General features: G+C 45.1%; 1 protein-coding gene across 6 annotated transcripts in view, besides 1 other annotated feature; it reads right to left on the reverse strand.

Moving 5' to 3' along the window:
* Positions 1 to 16,420, reverse strand: part of FAM219A (family with sequence similarity 219 member A) — a 60,387-nt gene that overhangs the window by 35,809 nt on the left and 8,158 nt on the right. The gene's annotated exons all lie outside the window — the stretch shown is intronic.
* Positions 3,594 to 3,653: a silencer, noted in NCBI's record as "silent region_19845". NCBI's record gives its function as "represses an Ori minimal core promoter by ATAC-STARR-seq in GM12878 lymphoblastoid cells {active_cell/tissue: GM12878}" and the evidence as "EXISTENCE:reporter gene assay evidence [ECO:0000049][PMID:35858748]".

Here is a 16,420-nt window from a genome sequence, read left to right on the forward strand (position 1 = left end):
GAGATCAAGACCATCCTGGCTAACACGGTGAAACCCCGTCTCTACTAAAAATACAAAAAATTAGCTGGGTGTGGTGGCGGGCGTCTGTAGTCCCAGCTACTCGGGAGGCTGAGGCAGGAGAATGGCGTGAACCCGGGAGGCGGAGCTTGCAGTGAGCCAAGATCGCGCCACTGCACTCCAGCCTGGGCAACAGAGCTAGACTCCGTCTCAAAAAAAAAAAAAAAAAAAAAAAAAAGAATGAAGTGGCCTCTCCAGATTCTTCAGTATCTCTCCAATCTTCCTATTAAATTGCTATACCACAGTAAACAGATTTAGAGACATGCTTCTTGACATAAGAGTTTACAATACAAATCAGAAAAGGTTAAATTCAGAAAATATAGATATTTATTTTTATATTGCAACTTAAAATTTCAAGGCTTTTTCCTCATTTTATTTCATTTAATCTCTGATAATCCATCTATCATTTATCTCAATTTTACAGAGAAAAAGAATCTGAAGCCCTATAAAGCTGAGTAACTCCCCTGAAGTCCCATATCCAGAACTGGGCCCCAAGTTTCCTGGTCCCTTTCCTACTTTACCACATAAAATGGCCATACAGAAAACGATAACACAACAAGAGACAACACTAATGGGAGGAAGGCCAGAAGCCAAAGAGAACCATCCAGAACATTCAAATATTAGTGATCATAGTTTTACCTTGGGGAATGTGAGAGTAAATTTGTCCCCTTGCTTTCCTTTTCTTATATGGTGAAAGTGGAACTGTAGGAGATCTCTCAACAGGGAGTAAGAAACAGGAAGGTATCTGCTCAATGTTGATGGTTTTCTTTCTTTCTTTCTTTTTTTTTGAGACAGAGTCTCACTCTGTCACCCAGACTGGAGTGCAGTGGTGGGATCTCAGTTCACTGTAACCTCCACCTCCTGGGCTCAAGTGATCCTCCTGCCTCAGCCTCCCAAGTAGCTGGGACTACAGGCATGTGCCACCACATCTGGCTAACTTTTTGTATTTTTGGTGGAGATGGGGTTTCACTATGTTGGCCAGGCTGGTCTTGAACTCCTGAGCTCAAGTGATCTGCCTGCCTCAGCCTCCCAAAGTACTGGGATTACAGGCCTGAGCCACTGTGCCTGGCCAGTGTTGATGATTTTCTGTTTCCAAAGAAATGCCCTGCCTCCTAGAAGCTACAGGGCTCTGTAGAACTTGAGAAGGAATTGGGAAGATGTGAGTCAAGTGTGGCATGTCAAAGCTGGGGTGCATAGCAGGAACAAGATTGTTTAGACAAGTGACACACAGGTCTCTGGCAGCATTTCCACACTCAATTCATCTTACCCCCTTTTGGTATGCATACCCAATTTAAAAATATGGAAAGCATGAGCTCTATCACCTGGGAAAAAATGATAGAGTCAAAGATCATGATTTTTGACCATTTGTTTCCCCAAATAGAAAAAAATTCAAAGAAAAAGGTGATGCTGTTTTGTCATAACAAATTCAAATGCAAAAAGGTGAATACAGAACATGAAAGTTCTCCTATAATTCATTACTGTTGCCAGTTTATTTTATACTTCCAGACTTTAAAGATATGTAATCATATATACCAATTTAAACATACATGGAATCAGATGATCCATCTTCCATATGTATTTTACTCAGTAACTTTTGTGTTATGTGCGCTTTACCACAATGAAATGCATCTATCATGAATATCTTTTTATGTCAATTCATATTAGATTTACATCCTCCTTTTAAAAGGCTGCCCATATGTATGCTATGGGATGGAGGTACCATGATTTATTAAATCAGTCCTCCCTGATGGAGGTTTAGATTGCTTTTTTTTTTGAGATGGAGTCTCACTGTATCACCCAGGCTGGAGTGCAATGGCATGATCTCGGCTCACTGCAACCCCTGCCTTCTGGGTTCAAGCGATTCTCCTGCCTCAGACTCCCAAGTTGCTGGGATTACAAGTGCCCACCACCACACCTGGCTCATTTTGTATTTTTAGTAGAGATAGGGTTTCACCATGTTGATCAGGCTGGTCTCAATCTCCTGACCTCAGGTGATCTACCTGCCTTGGCCTCCCAATGTGCTGGGATTACAGGCATGAGCTGCCGTGCCCAGCCTAGATTGCTCTTTTCTCACCTTTTTCTCACTATTATAATGTTGCAGCTACTAATAACTATTATAATATCTATTATAACTATTATAATGTTATTATAAAATTATGTATGTGTATTTATTTATAATTATTATAATTTCTGGGATTTTTTTGGGTTTTTTTTGAGACAAGGTCTCACTCTGTCACTCAAGCTGGAGTGTAGTGGCAACCACAGCTCACTGCAGCCTTGACCTCCTGGGTTCAAGTGATCCTCCCACCTCAGCCTCCCAAGCAGCTGGGACTACAGGCACATGCCACCATGCCTGGCTATTTAAAAAAAAATTTTTGTAGAGATGGGGTCTTGCTTTGTTGCCCAGACTGGTCTCAAACTCCTGGGTTCAAGCAATCCTCCCACCTCGGCCTCCCAAAGTGCTGGGATTATAGGTGTGAGCCACAGAGCCTGGCCTATGATAATTTCTTATTAAAGAAAGTCTTTATATGTTTGTCTATTTCTTTAAGAAAGTCCTAGAAGTAGAATAGCTGAGGGGGTCAATGGGAAATGTACACATTATATTTTGAGACACTGTTGCCAGTTATTGTTCCAGAGAGGCTGTGACAATGTATACTCTCACCAACTGGCTGTGGTAAGTACTTGGGTTTTGAATTTAGAAAGACCTAGATTAGTTCTCAAGCCACCTCGTTGTATGACTTTTGGCAAGTTACCTTTCTTAATGTCCCTTTCCTTTCATGGGTGTCATATTACCTACTTTGCAAGGCTGGTGTTAGAATGAGATGAAATAATGTATATAGAACACTTTGCAGCATGCCTGGCATGAACAACAAAGGGTAGCTGGTTTTTGTTTGTTTGTTTTTATGTTGCTCTCTCCTCATTTACTTTTTGTTTCCATCTAGTCTAAAGTATTCATCAGTCCTAATTTCCCTGCCACCAAAAGGAACTTGGGATGTGGACTAACTTGAGTTATGAGAACCAGCAGCAAGAGGCGTTGCCCTCTTAATGGGTTTGCACTTCCCAGGAAAGCCTTGAAGCCAATTTCCGGGGCTCTATCTTTCATGAGGAAATTGCAAGAAGACAAACACTACTCTCTCTCTCTCAATTATCTTGACTAGGATCTTAATCAGGTCATGCTTACTCTCCAGGACACTGCCGGATCAGGCCATTTCAACAGCTGGCCCTTCTCTTTAAAACAGGACACTACGTTATGATCTGGAGGCTACAAAGGATCCATGGAAACAGATGGGGTGAGAGACCCTGAGACATATATACCCTGGAACCCTGGGGAGTCCTGGTTGAATTCCATCCCCAGTGTCCTTCCACAGCCAGGGCCAAATGTGGAGCGCTAGAACTGAAGCGTGGCTTCTTGGGGCTTTCAGTTCTAGAATATACCGACTTAAGAGTTGAATTAACCAGGGCCTAGTGACAATGCTCCAAAATGCCAAAAGGGGGCAGTGCAGTGTTACAGTTAAGAGCATGGCCTTAAAGACTCCATACACCTGGGCTTGAAATGGTTTTGCCACTTACTAGGTTGTGTGACCTTGGGTCTCACTTTCCTTCTCTGTAGATTAAGGGTATACCTTCTTTGCAGAGTTGAGAAGATTAAATGAAACACTGTGTGTCTGGTGGCAGATAAGTAGTAAGTGCTTCTGAGAGGTGACAGCGTGCTGGCAGTCCTCACAGCCCTCGGTCGCTCTCAGCGCCTCCTCTGCCTGGGCTCCTACTTTGGTGGCATTTGAGGAGCCCTTCAGCCCACCGCTGCACCGTGGGAGCCCCTTTCTGGGCTGGCCAAGGCCAGAGCCGGCTCCCTCAGCTTGCAGGGAGGTGTGGAGGGAGAGGCGCGAGCGGGAACCCGGGCTGCGCGTGGCGCTTGCGGGCCACCTGGAGTTCCGAGTGGGCGTGGGCTTGGCGGGCCCCGCACTCGGAGCAGCCGGCTGGCCCTGCCGGCCAGGGGCAATGAGGGGCTTAGCACCCGGGCCAGTGGCTACGGAGGGTGTACTGGGTCCCACAGCAGTGCCAGCCCACGGGCGCTGTGCTCGATTTCTCACCAAGCCTTAGCTGCCTTCCTGCGGGGCAGGGCTCGGGACCTGCAGCCCGCCATGCTTGAGCCTCCCACCCCTCCATGGGCTCCTGTGCGGCCATGAGCCTCCCCAGTGAGGCCTGTGCCTCCCCAATGAGCGCCACCCCCTGCTCCACGGCGCCCAGTCCCATCGACCACACAAGGGCTGAGGAGTGCGGGCGCATGGCACCGGGACTGGCAGGCAGCTCCACCTGCAGCACCGGTGCGGGATCCACTGGGTGAAGCCAGCTGGGTTCCTGAGTCTGGTGGGGAGGTGGAGAACCTTTATGTCTAGCTCAGGGATTGTAACTACACCAATCAGCACCCTGTGTCTAGCTCAGGGTTTGTGAATGCACCAATGGACACTCTGTATCTATCTACTCTGGTGGGGCCTTGGAGAACCTTTATGTCTAGCTCAGGGATTGTAAATACACCAATCGGCACTCTGTATCTAGCTCAAGGTTTATAAACAAACCAATCAGAAGCATGTGTCTAGCTCAGGGTTTGTGAATGCACCAATCAACACTGCGTATCTAGCTACTCTGGTGGAGCCTTGGAGAACCTTTGTGTCTAGCTCAGGGATTGTAAACGCACCAATCAGTGCCCTGTCAAAACAGACCACTGGGCTCTACCAATCAGCAGGATGTGGGTGGGGCCAGATAAGAGAATAAAAGCAGGCTGCCCAAGCCAGCAGTGGCAACCCGCTCAGGTCCCCATCCACACTGTGGAAGCTTTGTTCTTTTGCTCTTTGCAATAAATCTTGCTACTGCTCATTCTTTGGGTCCACACTGCTTTTATGAGGTGTAACACTCACCGCGAAGGTCTGCAGCTTCACTCCTGAAACCAGCGAGACCACGAGCCCACCGGGAGGAACGAACAACTCCAGAGGCGCTGCCTTAAGAGCTGTAACACTCACCGCGAAGGTCTGCAGCTTCACTCCTGAGCCAGCGAGACCACGAACCCACCAGAAGGAAGAAACTCCGAACACATCTGAACGTCAGAAGGAACACACTCCGGACACGCCGCCTTTAAGAACTGTAACACTCACCGCGAGGGTCCGCGGCTTTATTCTTGAAGTCAGTGAGACCAAGAACCCACCAATTCCGGACACACTTCTAAACAGTAGGACACACGTCTGCAGGGTATATGGTTGAATGTCAGATACGACATGGGGTTACCAAGTAAATGAGACTAGAAGACAATTCATTCAGTCATTCATTCATTCAACCAAAAGCTATTTAGTGAATGTCCATTATGTGAAGGCACAGGAGACAAATGGTAAGTAAAAATGAATCTGGTTTCATGCAACATCCTTCAAAAGGACCCACGTTAATAGACTAATTTTACATACTTACGTAAAATTATAAATGTGAAAAGTGCAATAAGGGGAAGACTACTGACCAAGTCTAGGGATTGTCCTCTGTGATGAAACTATAGCTGAACTAAGAACTGAAAGATGAGTAGGAGTCAACAACAAAAAAAAGGTAGAAGGTGCAGCAAAAGCATTCCAGGCAGCAAGAACATTATGCGCAAAGGCCCTCAAGCAGAAGGGAGCCTGGGACATTAGAGAAGTGGAGGAAAAGCCAGTGATGCTGAATGTAGTGACTGGGGGTAATGTGATATGAGATAAGCTGAAGAGGAAGGCAGGAGCCAGATCACATGTTAGGGTTATACTAAGGATTTGAGTCTTTATAATAAGAACGAGTGGAAGCCGTTGAAGTGTAAGGGGCTACACGGGGCACTCCTGCTACTTGATGACACTTTCCTCTGATGTTTACTTTCATGTGGATAAAAGGGATAGGGCTTCACACAGTCCCTTCTGTGACCGCCCAGGAGAAGGGAGCAAAGAAGTAATCAGCAACAGGTCCCTTCCCAAAACAGAATGAGGCCCTCTGGATTCTCATAGCCTCAGGAAGAACTAGACATAAGGAGGAGTGTGGGCAGGGTATCCAAGGCTGTGAGGCTCTTATCAGGAATCCTGTACTGGGTGGTCAGCTGTCACTGCAGACCCCTATGTTTTCTAGCTGTTGCACAGCTGGTCCCTAGCTAGCCTCCACCTCTCAGACTTCCTGCTCCATCAGATGCTCCATTGTGTTGGACATAATTATCTGGGGACTAACAGCTGTTAGGCTGGGTAGTAGAAGTTGAAGACTCCCATGGGCAGGGAACCAGACCTAAGGGTGGGTACAGGTTTGCAAGAGGCAGCTCTCAACTTCTGTGTGCTTCTCTGGTGAGCTGGCTTGCAGTGCCCTCAGTGCATGTACTGTATTTGTCTGGGGCACATGTACACTCCTCTGTGAGGAGAGACAATAGGGGTGGAGATACTGGGGCAACACAGAAATGCCAAAGTACCAGAAGGTAGTGATGTGTTCCAGCCCTCACAGGTTTTTTTTTCTTAATAAAAAAAAACAATTTTTGGCCAGGCGTGGTGGCTCACGCCTGTAATCCCAGCACTTTGGAAGGCCGAGGCGGGCGGATCACGAGGTCAGGAGATCGAGACCATCCTGGCTAACACGGTGAAACCCCGTCTCTACTAAAAATACAAAAAATTAGCCGGGCATGGTGGCGGGCGCCTGTAGTCCCAGCTACTCGGGAGGCTGAGGCAGGAGAATGGCATGAACCCGGGAGGCGGAGCTTGCAAGTGAGCCGAGATCGCGCCACTGCCCTCCAGCCTGGGCGACAGAGTGAGACTCGGTCTCAAAAAAAAAAAAAAAAAATTTTTAAAGAAATGTTATCTTACTATGTTGCCCAGGCTAGAGTGCAGTGGCTATTCACAGGCCTGATCGTATAGCACTTAGAGCCTTTAACTCCTGGGCTCAAGTGATCCTCCTTGAGCCTCTCGAGTAGCTGGGACTCCAGGCTTAATGCCACCACACCTGACTCTCACATAGGTTTTTAAACTTGGCTGGAAAGAGAAAAGGACCTAAGAGTTCTAGAATTGCCTGCCCCATCCCTTCCCCCAACCTCTCCCGGCTTGTAGCCCAGCTAAACAGGAAACCAGGTTTGGGTCCTTGCCAGAGCCCAGGCTGGGGCAGGAAGCTCAGGAAACAAGTAAGACCCTCCTCAGCATAGAAGAAGGCTGCTAAGAAATCTGTGGGAAGCAAAAATAAACCCAGCCCTTGCTGAACTCTCTCCCAGAGGAGGAAAAGACCACAGTTGCTTCTACTCCCTAGTATGAGTCAAGCATAGTCCTAGGAAGATTCAGAGAGCAGATGCAGGAGCTTCATGAAGTGAGATACTGCTGTTCCAGTGAGAACACACTCAGTAAGGACCCTCCTCTCAGAGAAGCACAGGGCTTAGTGAAGCAGGGTGGGATACATGTGGTCTGAAGACACTCCAGGGCTATCTTGGGCTGATAAGGAAGCAAATGATGGTACAGGATAAGAGCAGTGGTGGAAGAAGCAGACCTAAAGGAGAGAGGGCCCGAGACCAGGTGATACCTGTGGGGGTATGAAGGCAGAGAATTAACAGGGTTCTTTGCTGTACAAATGTGAAGGAAATTCCTGATGGAATAATGAATCAAGGCAATGACAGTCAAGGGCTGTAAAAACATTAGGTGAAAGGCTGAAGGGGGCTTTTATTTATTTTTTATTTTTGAGACAGGGTCTCGCTCTGTTACCCAGGCTGGAGTACAGTGGCACGATCATGGCTCACTGCAGCCTCGACCTCCTGGGCTCAAGCAATCCTCCTGCCTGCCAAGTAGCTAGGACTACAGGTGCATGCCACGATGCCTAATTTTTGTATTATTTTTGTATGGGGATGGGGTCTCACTATGTTGCCCAGACTGGTTTCGAACTCCTGGCCTCAAGTGATCCTCCTGCCTTGGCCACCCAAAGTGCTGAATTACAGGCCACTATGCCTAGCCAACTTTTATAGTGGAGAGATCAGGCTAACTACACCACAAAAAATAGGATAAACATATGTTATGTGCTTCCTGGTATGAAATACATACACATCACACCTCAAAAGGTAAACTGTGGCATACACATCACACCTCAGAAGGATTCTTTACAAAAAGTTGAATTTAAGTCTGATCAAACCTTGAGATCTAACTACCAATTTGCAAAAATACAGGAGACAGAATAGGATAAAAAACAACACAAGAATGCAGTCAACAAAATCCAGATTGTGGGAAACTCTATAGGACAAAGGACTGAACTTTTTATTTGTTTTTGTTTTTGTGTTTTAACAAATAAATTGCAAGAAAAGAAAAAATGGTGGGAGAAACTACAGATTAAAAGAGACATATCAGGCCAGGCATGGCGGCTCACGCCTGTAATCCCAGCACTTCGGGAGCCTGCGGCAGGTGGATCACCTGAGGTCAGGGGTTTGAGACCAGCCTGGAAAACATGGCAAAACTCTGTCTCTACTGAAAATATGAAAATTAGGCGGGCATGATAGCACGTGCCTGTAATCCCAGCTACTCAGGAAGCTGAGGCAGGAGAATTGCTTGAACCTGGGAGGCAAAGGTTGTAGTAGGCCGAGATCACGCCACTGCACTCCAGCCTGGGTGACAGAGACAGACTCCGTCTCAAAAAAAAAAAACAAAAAAAAAGAGACATGTCAACCAAATGCAATGTGTGAGCCAGATTCAAACCAACCAACCAATTTTTAAGATGTTAAGGAATTAAAGGATTTTTAGGGGTGATAATGGTATTTATGTTAAAGATAGTAATGGTGTGATAATGGTAGTTATGTAGAAAATTATCATTTTTAGAGATAGTATAATGTTATAGATGATTATTCACCCATACCCCACCTACTGGATTATCTTGAATATTAAATTATTAAATTTAATTCAAATATTCAAACATTAAATTAAATCGATATTCAAATATTAAATTATTCAAGATAATCCAGTAGGTGGGGTATGGGTGAAATAAGATTAGCCTTGTGTTGATAGCTGTTGAAGTTGGGTGACAAGTACTAGGGGGTATGTGTTTGAAGATTTCCAGGGCAAACCATTAAAAAATGTGAAGGAAGTGAGCAATCTGGATCTGCCTCCTCTAGCCCACTGACATTGGGGAGAATAATAGCAATGTTGACTTTTTCATATGTTTCGTGAGCCCTGAAAATTGACCTTCGGGAACCGAAACAGCAGTAGGACACCCTCCACTATCACCAATGGTGGGGATCTCCAGGAAGGCCCACTCTGCTAACAGACTCAGCCGCCCTCTACACGTCCCCCAGCCCAGCCCCACTCAATGGGAATCTCTTCCAGAGATCAGTGAAAGCACAGAGCAGGTCCTTCTCCAGCCTGGCCTCACCACAGCCCTGTCAAGGAGGCCAAAGACTCTTCTCATTTGGTGATGAGAAGAATAACCCATCTCCTCACTCTCTCCCACAAAAGTTCCCTTGGGAATTACAGACAGAAAAAGAAAATCAGCAACCCTTTCATTATCATCAACCCTTAGACCAGAAATAATATAGTAATTTGCAGCTCATTTTCACATACATGATCTTATTTATTTTACAAATGCCTGAAAGCGGTTAGGAGGCTGGCCAAAGGTCATAACAAAAGTGATAGTAGCTAGGATATACCCAGCCTACTTACCACTGCTGTGCACAGCTCCTGCCCTCAGGCCCGTGCCCCCCACTGGCTTATCCTAATTTCCCCACCCCCTCAAGCATACTCAAACCAATTCCTCCTGTGGGAGCTTCCTGTGACTGTCTCTCTGCTGTATCAGAGCCCATGGCAAATGAAGGATGTGAAATATGAGATTCCATCAGGAAGTTGATAGGGAGGCTAACAGATGGTCAAATCTTGGTTCTGACTGGTTCCCTTTGGTACCAATGTCTGCTACATTAAATACCAACCCTCAACTTGGTCTCCCTCCCTGACTCCACATAATTCTCCCTCCCCTTCCCTAAACCACTAGCTACTACCACTTCCCCATATCATTATCCCCACTTGGCCTTTCACTGAGTCCTCTAGGCCAGAGCTGGATGCAGCATGTCAGCTGAGAGCAGAGAGGACTTTCTGGAAGCTAAAATCCTCAGGGAACAGCTTTGGCATTCATAGGAGAACCAGTGGAGGCCCCTTTCACCAGCTGCTGCAATTTGCCTGCCAATGTGGCTACTGGCTTTCCCACCAGAGGCAAGTCTGTCCCCAGAGAGAATGACCTATACATTTGGGTTTTGTGGTAAGGAGAAACCTATGCCTGATACACCAAGAACAGGACATCCAGGCTGGCACTCTTCCTTTCCTCCAAGATCCCCAGAGACTTTCTCCATTTCCAGGAGGATGTGTACAGGTCATATAATGTTGGAAGACTCAGGTAGGAGCTCTTCATCAGCAAAACTAAGTTTTTTCCTCATTAAATATTAAAGCTTACAACTCCATTAATAGCTTCTCCAGCCCCCACAACAAAGCTGACGGCACAGTTATCAGCTCTGCTACCAATGGGAGAGGGGCTGGATTGGCCTTCTTACATTATTCTACGTCCCTTACTTCTGAAAATGTACCTAATGCTGCAAAGGGAGAAGATGGGAAAAGGCCAATTTGTAAGGAACTCAGATTGCTAACTCAGCTAGGGACCCCTGCCCACTGGGGAGCCAGGAGCACGTCACTCCTTGTAAGAACAAAATCCTTCTCATCCTGTGGTCTGAGTTCAAACATCACTTTCTCATAGCAGCCTTACCTGACATCCACAAGAGAATAATTTATTATTCTCTCTTTTCCTACTGCATTTCTTGCCTTTTCTATCACTTGTCATAGTTGGTAATTGTGTTTGTGCACTTTGTTTAGTATCTGTCTCTCCTACTGGATTGCCAGCTTATGAAGGTAGGTACCATGTTTGCTTTATTCATCATTTTACTTCCTATGTTTGGCTCAGTGTCTTGCATATAGCAGATGCTCAAAAGATGTTATTTGAATAATGAATGAATGTCCCATCCCTGTATTCCCCTGAATCTCCCTTAATTCCCCAACATGTGGCTTCCACTCTACTAATTCTCACCTACTCATCCCCCTCTAGGTCTTTGCTGTTCCCCTCCTTAGAATAACCTCCCAACCTCCTCTCCTTTCCACTCTTACTCATCTTTAAAGGAGCCAGCTGTATTCTTCTGTAGTTCTGTTTCATAAGAGCAAGTATCTTCTTCACCAGTCTGTAAGTTCTAGAGGTAGAAGCTATCTTGTCAAGGAGATCAAAGGGGAGTTGGGGTGACAAGACTCACAGCACATTAAAGTGGACACCCTAAACCAGAATATCATTTGTATAAAATTATGTGCTAGAGGTTATAGAGGCTTAGGGATTGGTTAAGAGCTCACTAGAATATTCAGGGAAAGCTCTCTGAAGAATGGGAGTTTATATTGATCTCTGAAGAATGTGTATGAGTGAAATGGGCAGAAGAGAATTGTTAAGAGGAGAGGAGGCCTCAAGGTGCCAATAGGTGAAAGAAGGTGAAGGACATGGCTGGACTTACTAGAAAGAAAGTTGGCTTGAATGGTAGCAAGTATGGCCAGCTTTGAGGGGTAAAAGCCTAGTGTAGATGCCTCAAAAGCCAGTGGAGAAGTTCAAGCCTGATGTAGAAGAACTTAATTGGGTTCCAAGTTGCGAAGGAGGGTCTAATCTAGGCCACGCCAACCTCCAGCTGGGTAGTGGCTAAGCCTGTTTACCTTTCTGGGAGTCTGCTTGCAGATCTATAAAGTGGGCAAAATGATTTTCCTAATCTGCTTAATGAGATGGTTCAGGTGCTTTGGAAACATCTTTTCACCTACCTTAAAAAGGAATTAAAGATAGGCTGGGTGCAGTGGCTCATGCCTGTAATCCCAGCACTTTGGGAGTCCGAGGCAAGAAGATCACTTGAAGTCAGGAGTTTAAGACCAGCCTAGCCAACATGGTGAAACCATCTCTACTAAAAATACAAAAATTAGCTGGGTGTGGTGGTGTGCACCTGTACTCTCAGCTACTCGGAAGGCTGAGGCAGAAGAATTGCTTGAACCTGGGAGGCAGAGGCTGCAGTGAGCCAAGATTGTGCCACTGCACTCCAGCCTGGGCAACAGAGCGAGACTCTGTCTCAAAAAAAAAAAAAAAATGCGGGGCGGGGGGAATTAAAGATAGGGATAAGACACTGTACCCATAAACTTTACACAATGACAAGGTATTAGGGCCACAGGACAGGTAAATGGAGAGCTCACATCTCACTGAAGGATAGAAAGGGATGCATGAAGAAGATGGTGCTTTTGTGACAGGCCTTGATATATACAAAACATTAGCAAACACCTATTCTCAGAAAACTAGAAAAGTGCTGCTTGTGCTAAGTTCCACAGTGGATTCTTGGACACGTTTATAGTACACACACATAACAGAGCCATGTTTACTGCTAGAATATTATTCCTAGCACCTACTTTGGAAGGACTAGGACATTTGCACAGAGCAGTGTGTCTTCCTGGTGCCCTGGCCTCTGGCCCAGTTTAAGAACTGATACCATAGAGAATGTGAGGTAAGAACACATTCACATTCCCACCATGGCTCTGGTTCTCCCTGTGAAGCTACAGATAACATGAAGACTATCCTCCTTTTCTTTCCTAATCCCAGTCCTTTAGGTATTTGAAAACCTCAAAATGCTTTCTCTGAGACTGCTTATTCATAGGCCAAACAGCTCAGTTCTTCTAACTATTCTCACATGACATGCTTTTGACTCCTTTCATTATTCTAGTCACCCAATCTCTTGAATGATGATATCAGTACAGAATGGAGGACTTCAGATGGTGATGACCACTACAGAATAGGGCAGAGTAGGATGATTACCTCCTAGGAACTGAATTCCATGCTTCTATTAATGTAGTCCAACAGCACATTAGCTTTGTTATATAGTGGACTTATATTAAGCTTTCTGTCCACTCAAGCACTAGCTCGCTTTAAAGGTCCCTACCTTCTCCAATCACACAGCCTCCCTAGATTCCTATTGAAATTCTGTCTTGCTGAATTCAGCCAGCTACCTTTCTGAGAATAAGAGTCACATGACACACATGTAGTGTAGTTTCTAACAAATGTGGAACCATCATCTCACTATCCTCAGTGGACTCTTAACCTGTATTGGCAGTAAGCCTAGCTCAAGATGTGATTCCAGGTTCTTGCCTTGATTTTACACTGCTAAGGGAAAGGGCTGCTCTGTTCCAGATATGTTCTGAGTTCAATATAACAATAGGTATGGTTATTAAATATGATCATGGAAGCTCAACTGACAATAATAGAAGTACAATATCAATATTATGGGTAGTGGCAGTCCCACAATAATCTGTGCTGTGCAGATCACATGTACAGCTCTGTGTTCAGTTTCAGGGGTGAGAAACCTAAAAGTATCCACTAGGGCAGCTAGGATGACTGCGAATTTGGAAGCCAGTGTCCCGGGAAATGGTAAAAGGAAAAAGCAGGCCTATTTAGCCTGGGTAAACAAAAGAGCGCTAAGGCTGTATAACCTATAATAGGGCCTTTCCTCGCCAGTGACTTCTGGCTTATGGGTCTCTTCTTGTAGCCTATTCCTTCTTGCTTCTTTGGTCAAGGGCTTATAATTTCATATTAAGTGTGGCCAACCACTCATATGAAATTCATGAGATCTTTTCCTGAATCTGCTTCTTTCCCCCTCTTATCTGCTCAGCAGAGTCCAGGTTACTCCCTCTCACCTGGCCTATTTATTTCAAAAGGATTTTAAACTTTATATTAATTCAATACTTCAGAAACCAGTGCTGAAGATCAAGTAGAAAAAAACAGTTTTCTTCATTTTTTTTTTTTTAAGACAGGGTCTTGCTTTGTTGCCTAGGCTAGAGTGTAATAGTGCAATTATAGCTCATTGCAGCCTCGAACTCCCGGGCTCAAGCCATCCTCCCACCTCAGCCTCCCTAATGGCTAGGACTACAGGCATGCATCATCATGCCTGGCTACTTTTTAATTTTTTGTAGAGACAGGGTCTCACTATGTTGCCCAGGCTGGTCTCGAATTGATGGCCTTAAGCAATCCTCCCGCCTTGGCCTCTCTAAGCACTGGGATTACAGGCATGAGCCACTGCACCTGGCCCCTTTATTCATTTCTTAAGGAGCCATATGATAAGACTTTAGCCCCTCAGTGAAACAGATTGCTTGGCTGGCTAACATCCCCAAGAGTTCCCCTTTCCTGTGTTCTTTGCCCAAGATAACTATGATGATTCAGGGCCGCTGGGATGGCAACCAGAATACTAGAACTGTTGTTCCCCCTGCTGAAGACCATAGCAGACATGGAAAATCAACCAAACCATGTCAGTCTTTCATATGGAACCAGGAGTCCACCTTAGCATCCATCTTAACACAATGCTCCAGGCAGCAACTACTGATCAAGGGGCATTGGCATGAAGGGTAATGCCTGTTTATCATCCATGCTTTATGTAGCCTGTGGAGTAGGAGGGTATAAAATAATTATGCAGGAATGTTTCTTGAGCTGTTGTGAACAGTGAGAACATTTATTGATACTGCAGAGGAAGTACTGAAACATCCCCTAATCGGGGAATCCACTTTTCACCTTAAATCTCAATTGAGATGGGATTCTTCCTGATAAAAGATTTGGATTATCTTTATCTTCTCTACTGCTTGGCAGAACATAAAAGCATAGAGCACAGCCCAAGGTAAAAATGAGAAATAGAACTAGGCCATGGTGGGAGCTAAGCTATGAGGACACAAAGGCATAAGAATGATATAATGGACTCTGGGGACTCACAGGGGAAGGGTGGGAGAAGGATGAGGGATAAAAGACTACATGTTGGGTACATTGTACACTGTTTGGGTGACAGGTGCACCAAAATCTCAGAAATTACTACCAAAGAACTTATCCACATAACCAAAAACCACCTGTTCCCCAAAAACTATCGGAAAAAAAAAAAAAACCTCAGCCATGGGATAGCCACACTGGTTTAAAAGTAAAGTACTAGCTGGGTGCAGTGGCTCACACCTGTAATCTTAGCACTTTGGGAGGACATGGCAGGTGGATCTCTTGAGCCCAGGAATTTGAGACCAACCTGGGCAACATGGCGAAACCCCATCTCTACCAGAAAAAAACAAAAATTAGCTGGGCATGGTGGTGCACACCTGTAGTCCTAGTTACTTGGGAGGCTGAGGTGGGAGGATCACCTGAGCTGGGGAAGGTCAAGGCTGTAGGAGACAGAGTGAAACTGTGTCTCAAAAAACAGTAAAGTACTAAATGGCTAGTGTATACAATATATAAATTATATCTCAATAAAGTTGTCCAAAAAAAATAAGGATCAAACCAGCATTTGGTAGAGGGACATAAGGGAAATAAAACTCCCTTAGAAATATTATGAGAAAAACAAGGCACTTGGTATTTGCCTGTGCACCTAACCAAAGTTCACCAAGAGCTTCCTACTAATAGCAAGTTCAGACCCTGAAACAAATCAGCAACATCCCATTAGACACTAACTAGCATAGGGCAAAATGGTGTGGGTTATAAAAGACATTTAAAAGAACTAGGAAGACTATAAATCTAGACTGGATCAGCACAGATACTAATTTCTAAGCTAAAGTTTTCCAAAGAGTATTTCCCATGAAACACATTGGTTCTGTAAGATGTTAACAGATGTAACATGAAAAAAGGTTCTATAGTTAAATAAGCTTGGGAAACACTGAATTAAACAAAGTTGAAAAGGTTCCTTTACTGCAGGATATCTCAGAGTCTTTAAAACGTCAGTGGGCATTGTGATGGGATAGAGCATATAGTCTTTCCCAAAGAAATTTTTCTACGGAGACTTTTTCCCTCATGAAGCATCCCAAAGGATCAATATTCCTAACAGAATACTATAGGAAATGCTGGTCTAAACCGTGCATGGTGCGTGGCCAAGGGCTTCACCAATTCCTTCATAAGGATAAAATGGGAAATTAATATGGGAACTAGGTCGGGCGTGGTGGCTTACACCTGTAATCCCAGCACTTTGGGAGGCCAAGGTGAATAGATCGCTTGAGCTCAGGAGTTTGAGACCAGTCTAGGCAACATGGCGAAACCCCTTCTCTACAAAAAATACAAAAAATTAGCTGGGTATGGTGGCGCGTGAATGTAGTCCCAGCTACTCAGGAGGCTGAGGCAGGAGGATCGCTTGAGCCTGGGAGGCGGAGTTTGCAGTGAGCCAAGATTAAGCCACTGTACTCCAGCCTCGGTGACAGAGACCCTGTCTCAAAAAAAAAAAAAAAGTGGGGGGAACTATAATTTATACCTTGTACATAATTATGTTTATGTGGTGAAATATATGTGGTTCTCACTCCACAGTTTGCATGTAGTT

This window comes from Homo sapiens, chromosome 9 (assembly GCF_000001405.40).
Source record: "Homo sapiens chromosome 9, GRCh38.p14 Primary Assembly".
NCBI classification, from domain to species: domain Eukaryota; kingdom Metazoa; phylum Chordata; class Mammalia; order Primates; family Hominidae; genus Homo; species Homo sapiens.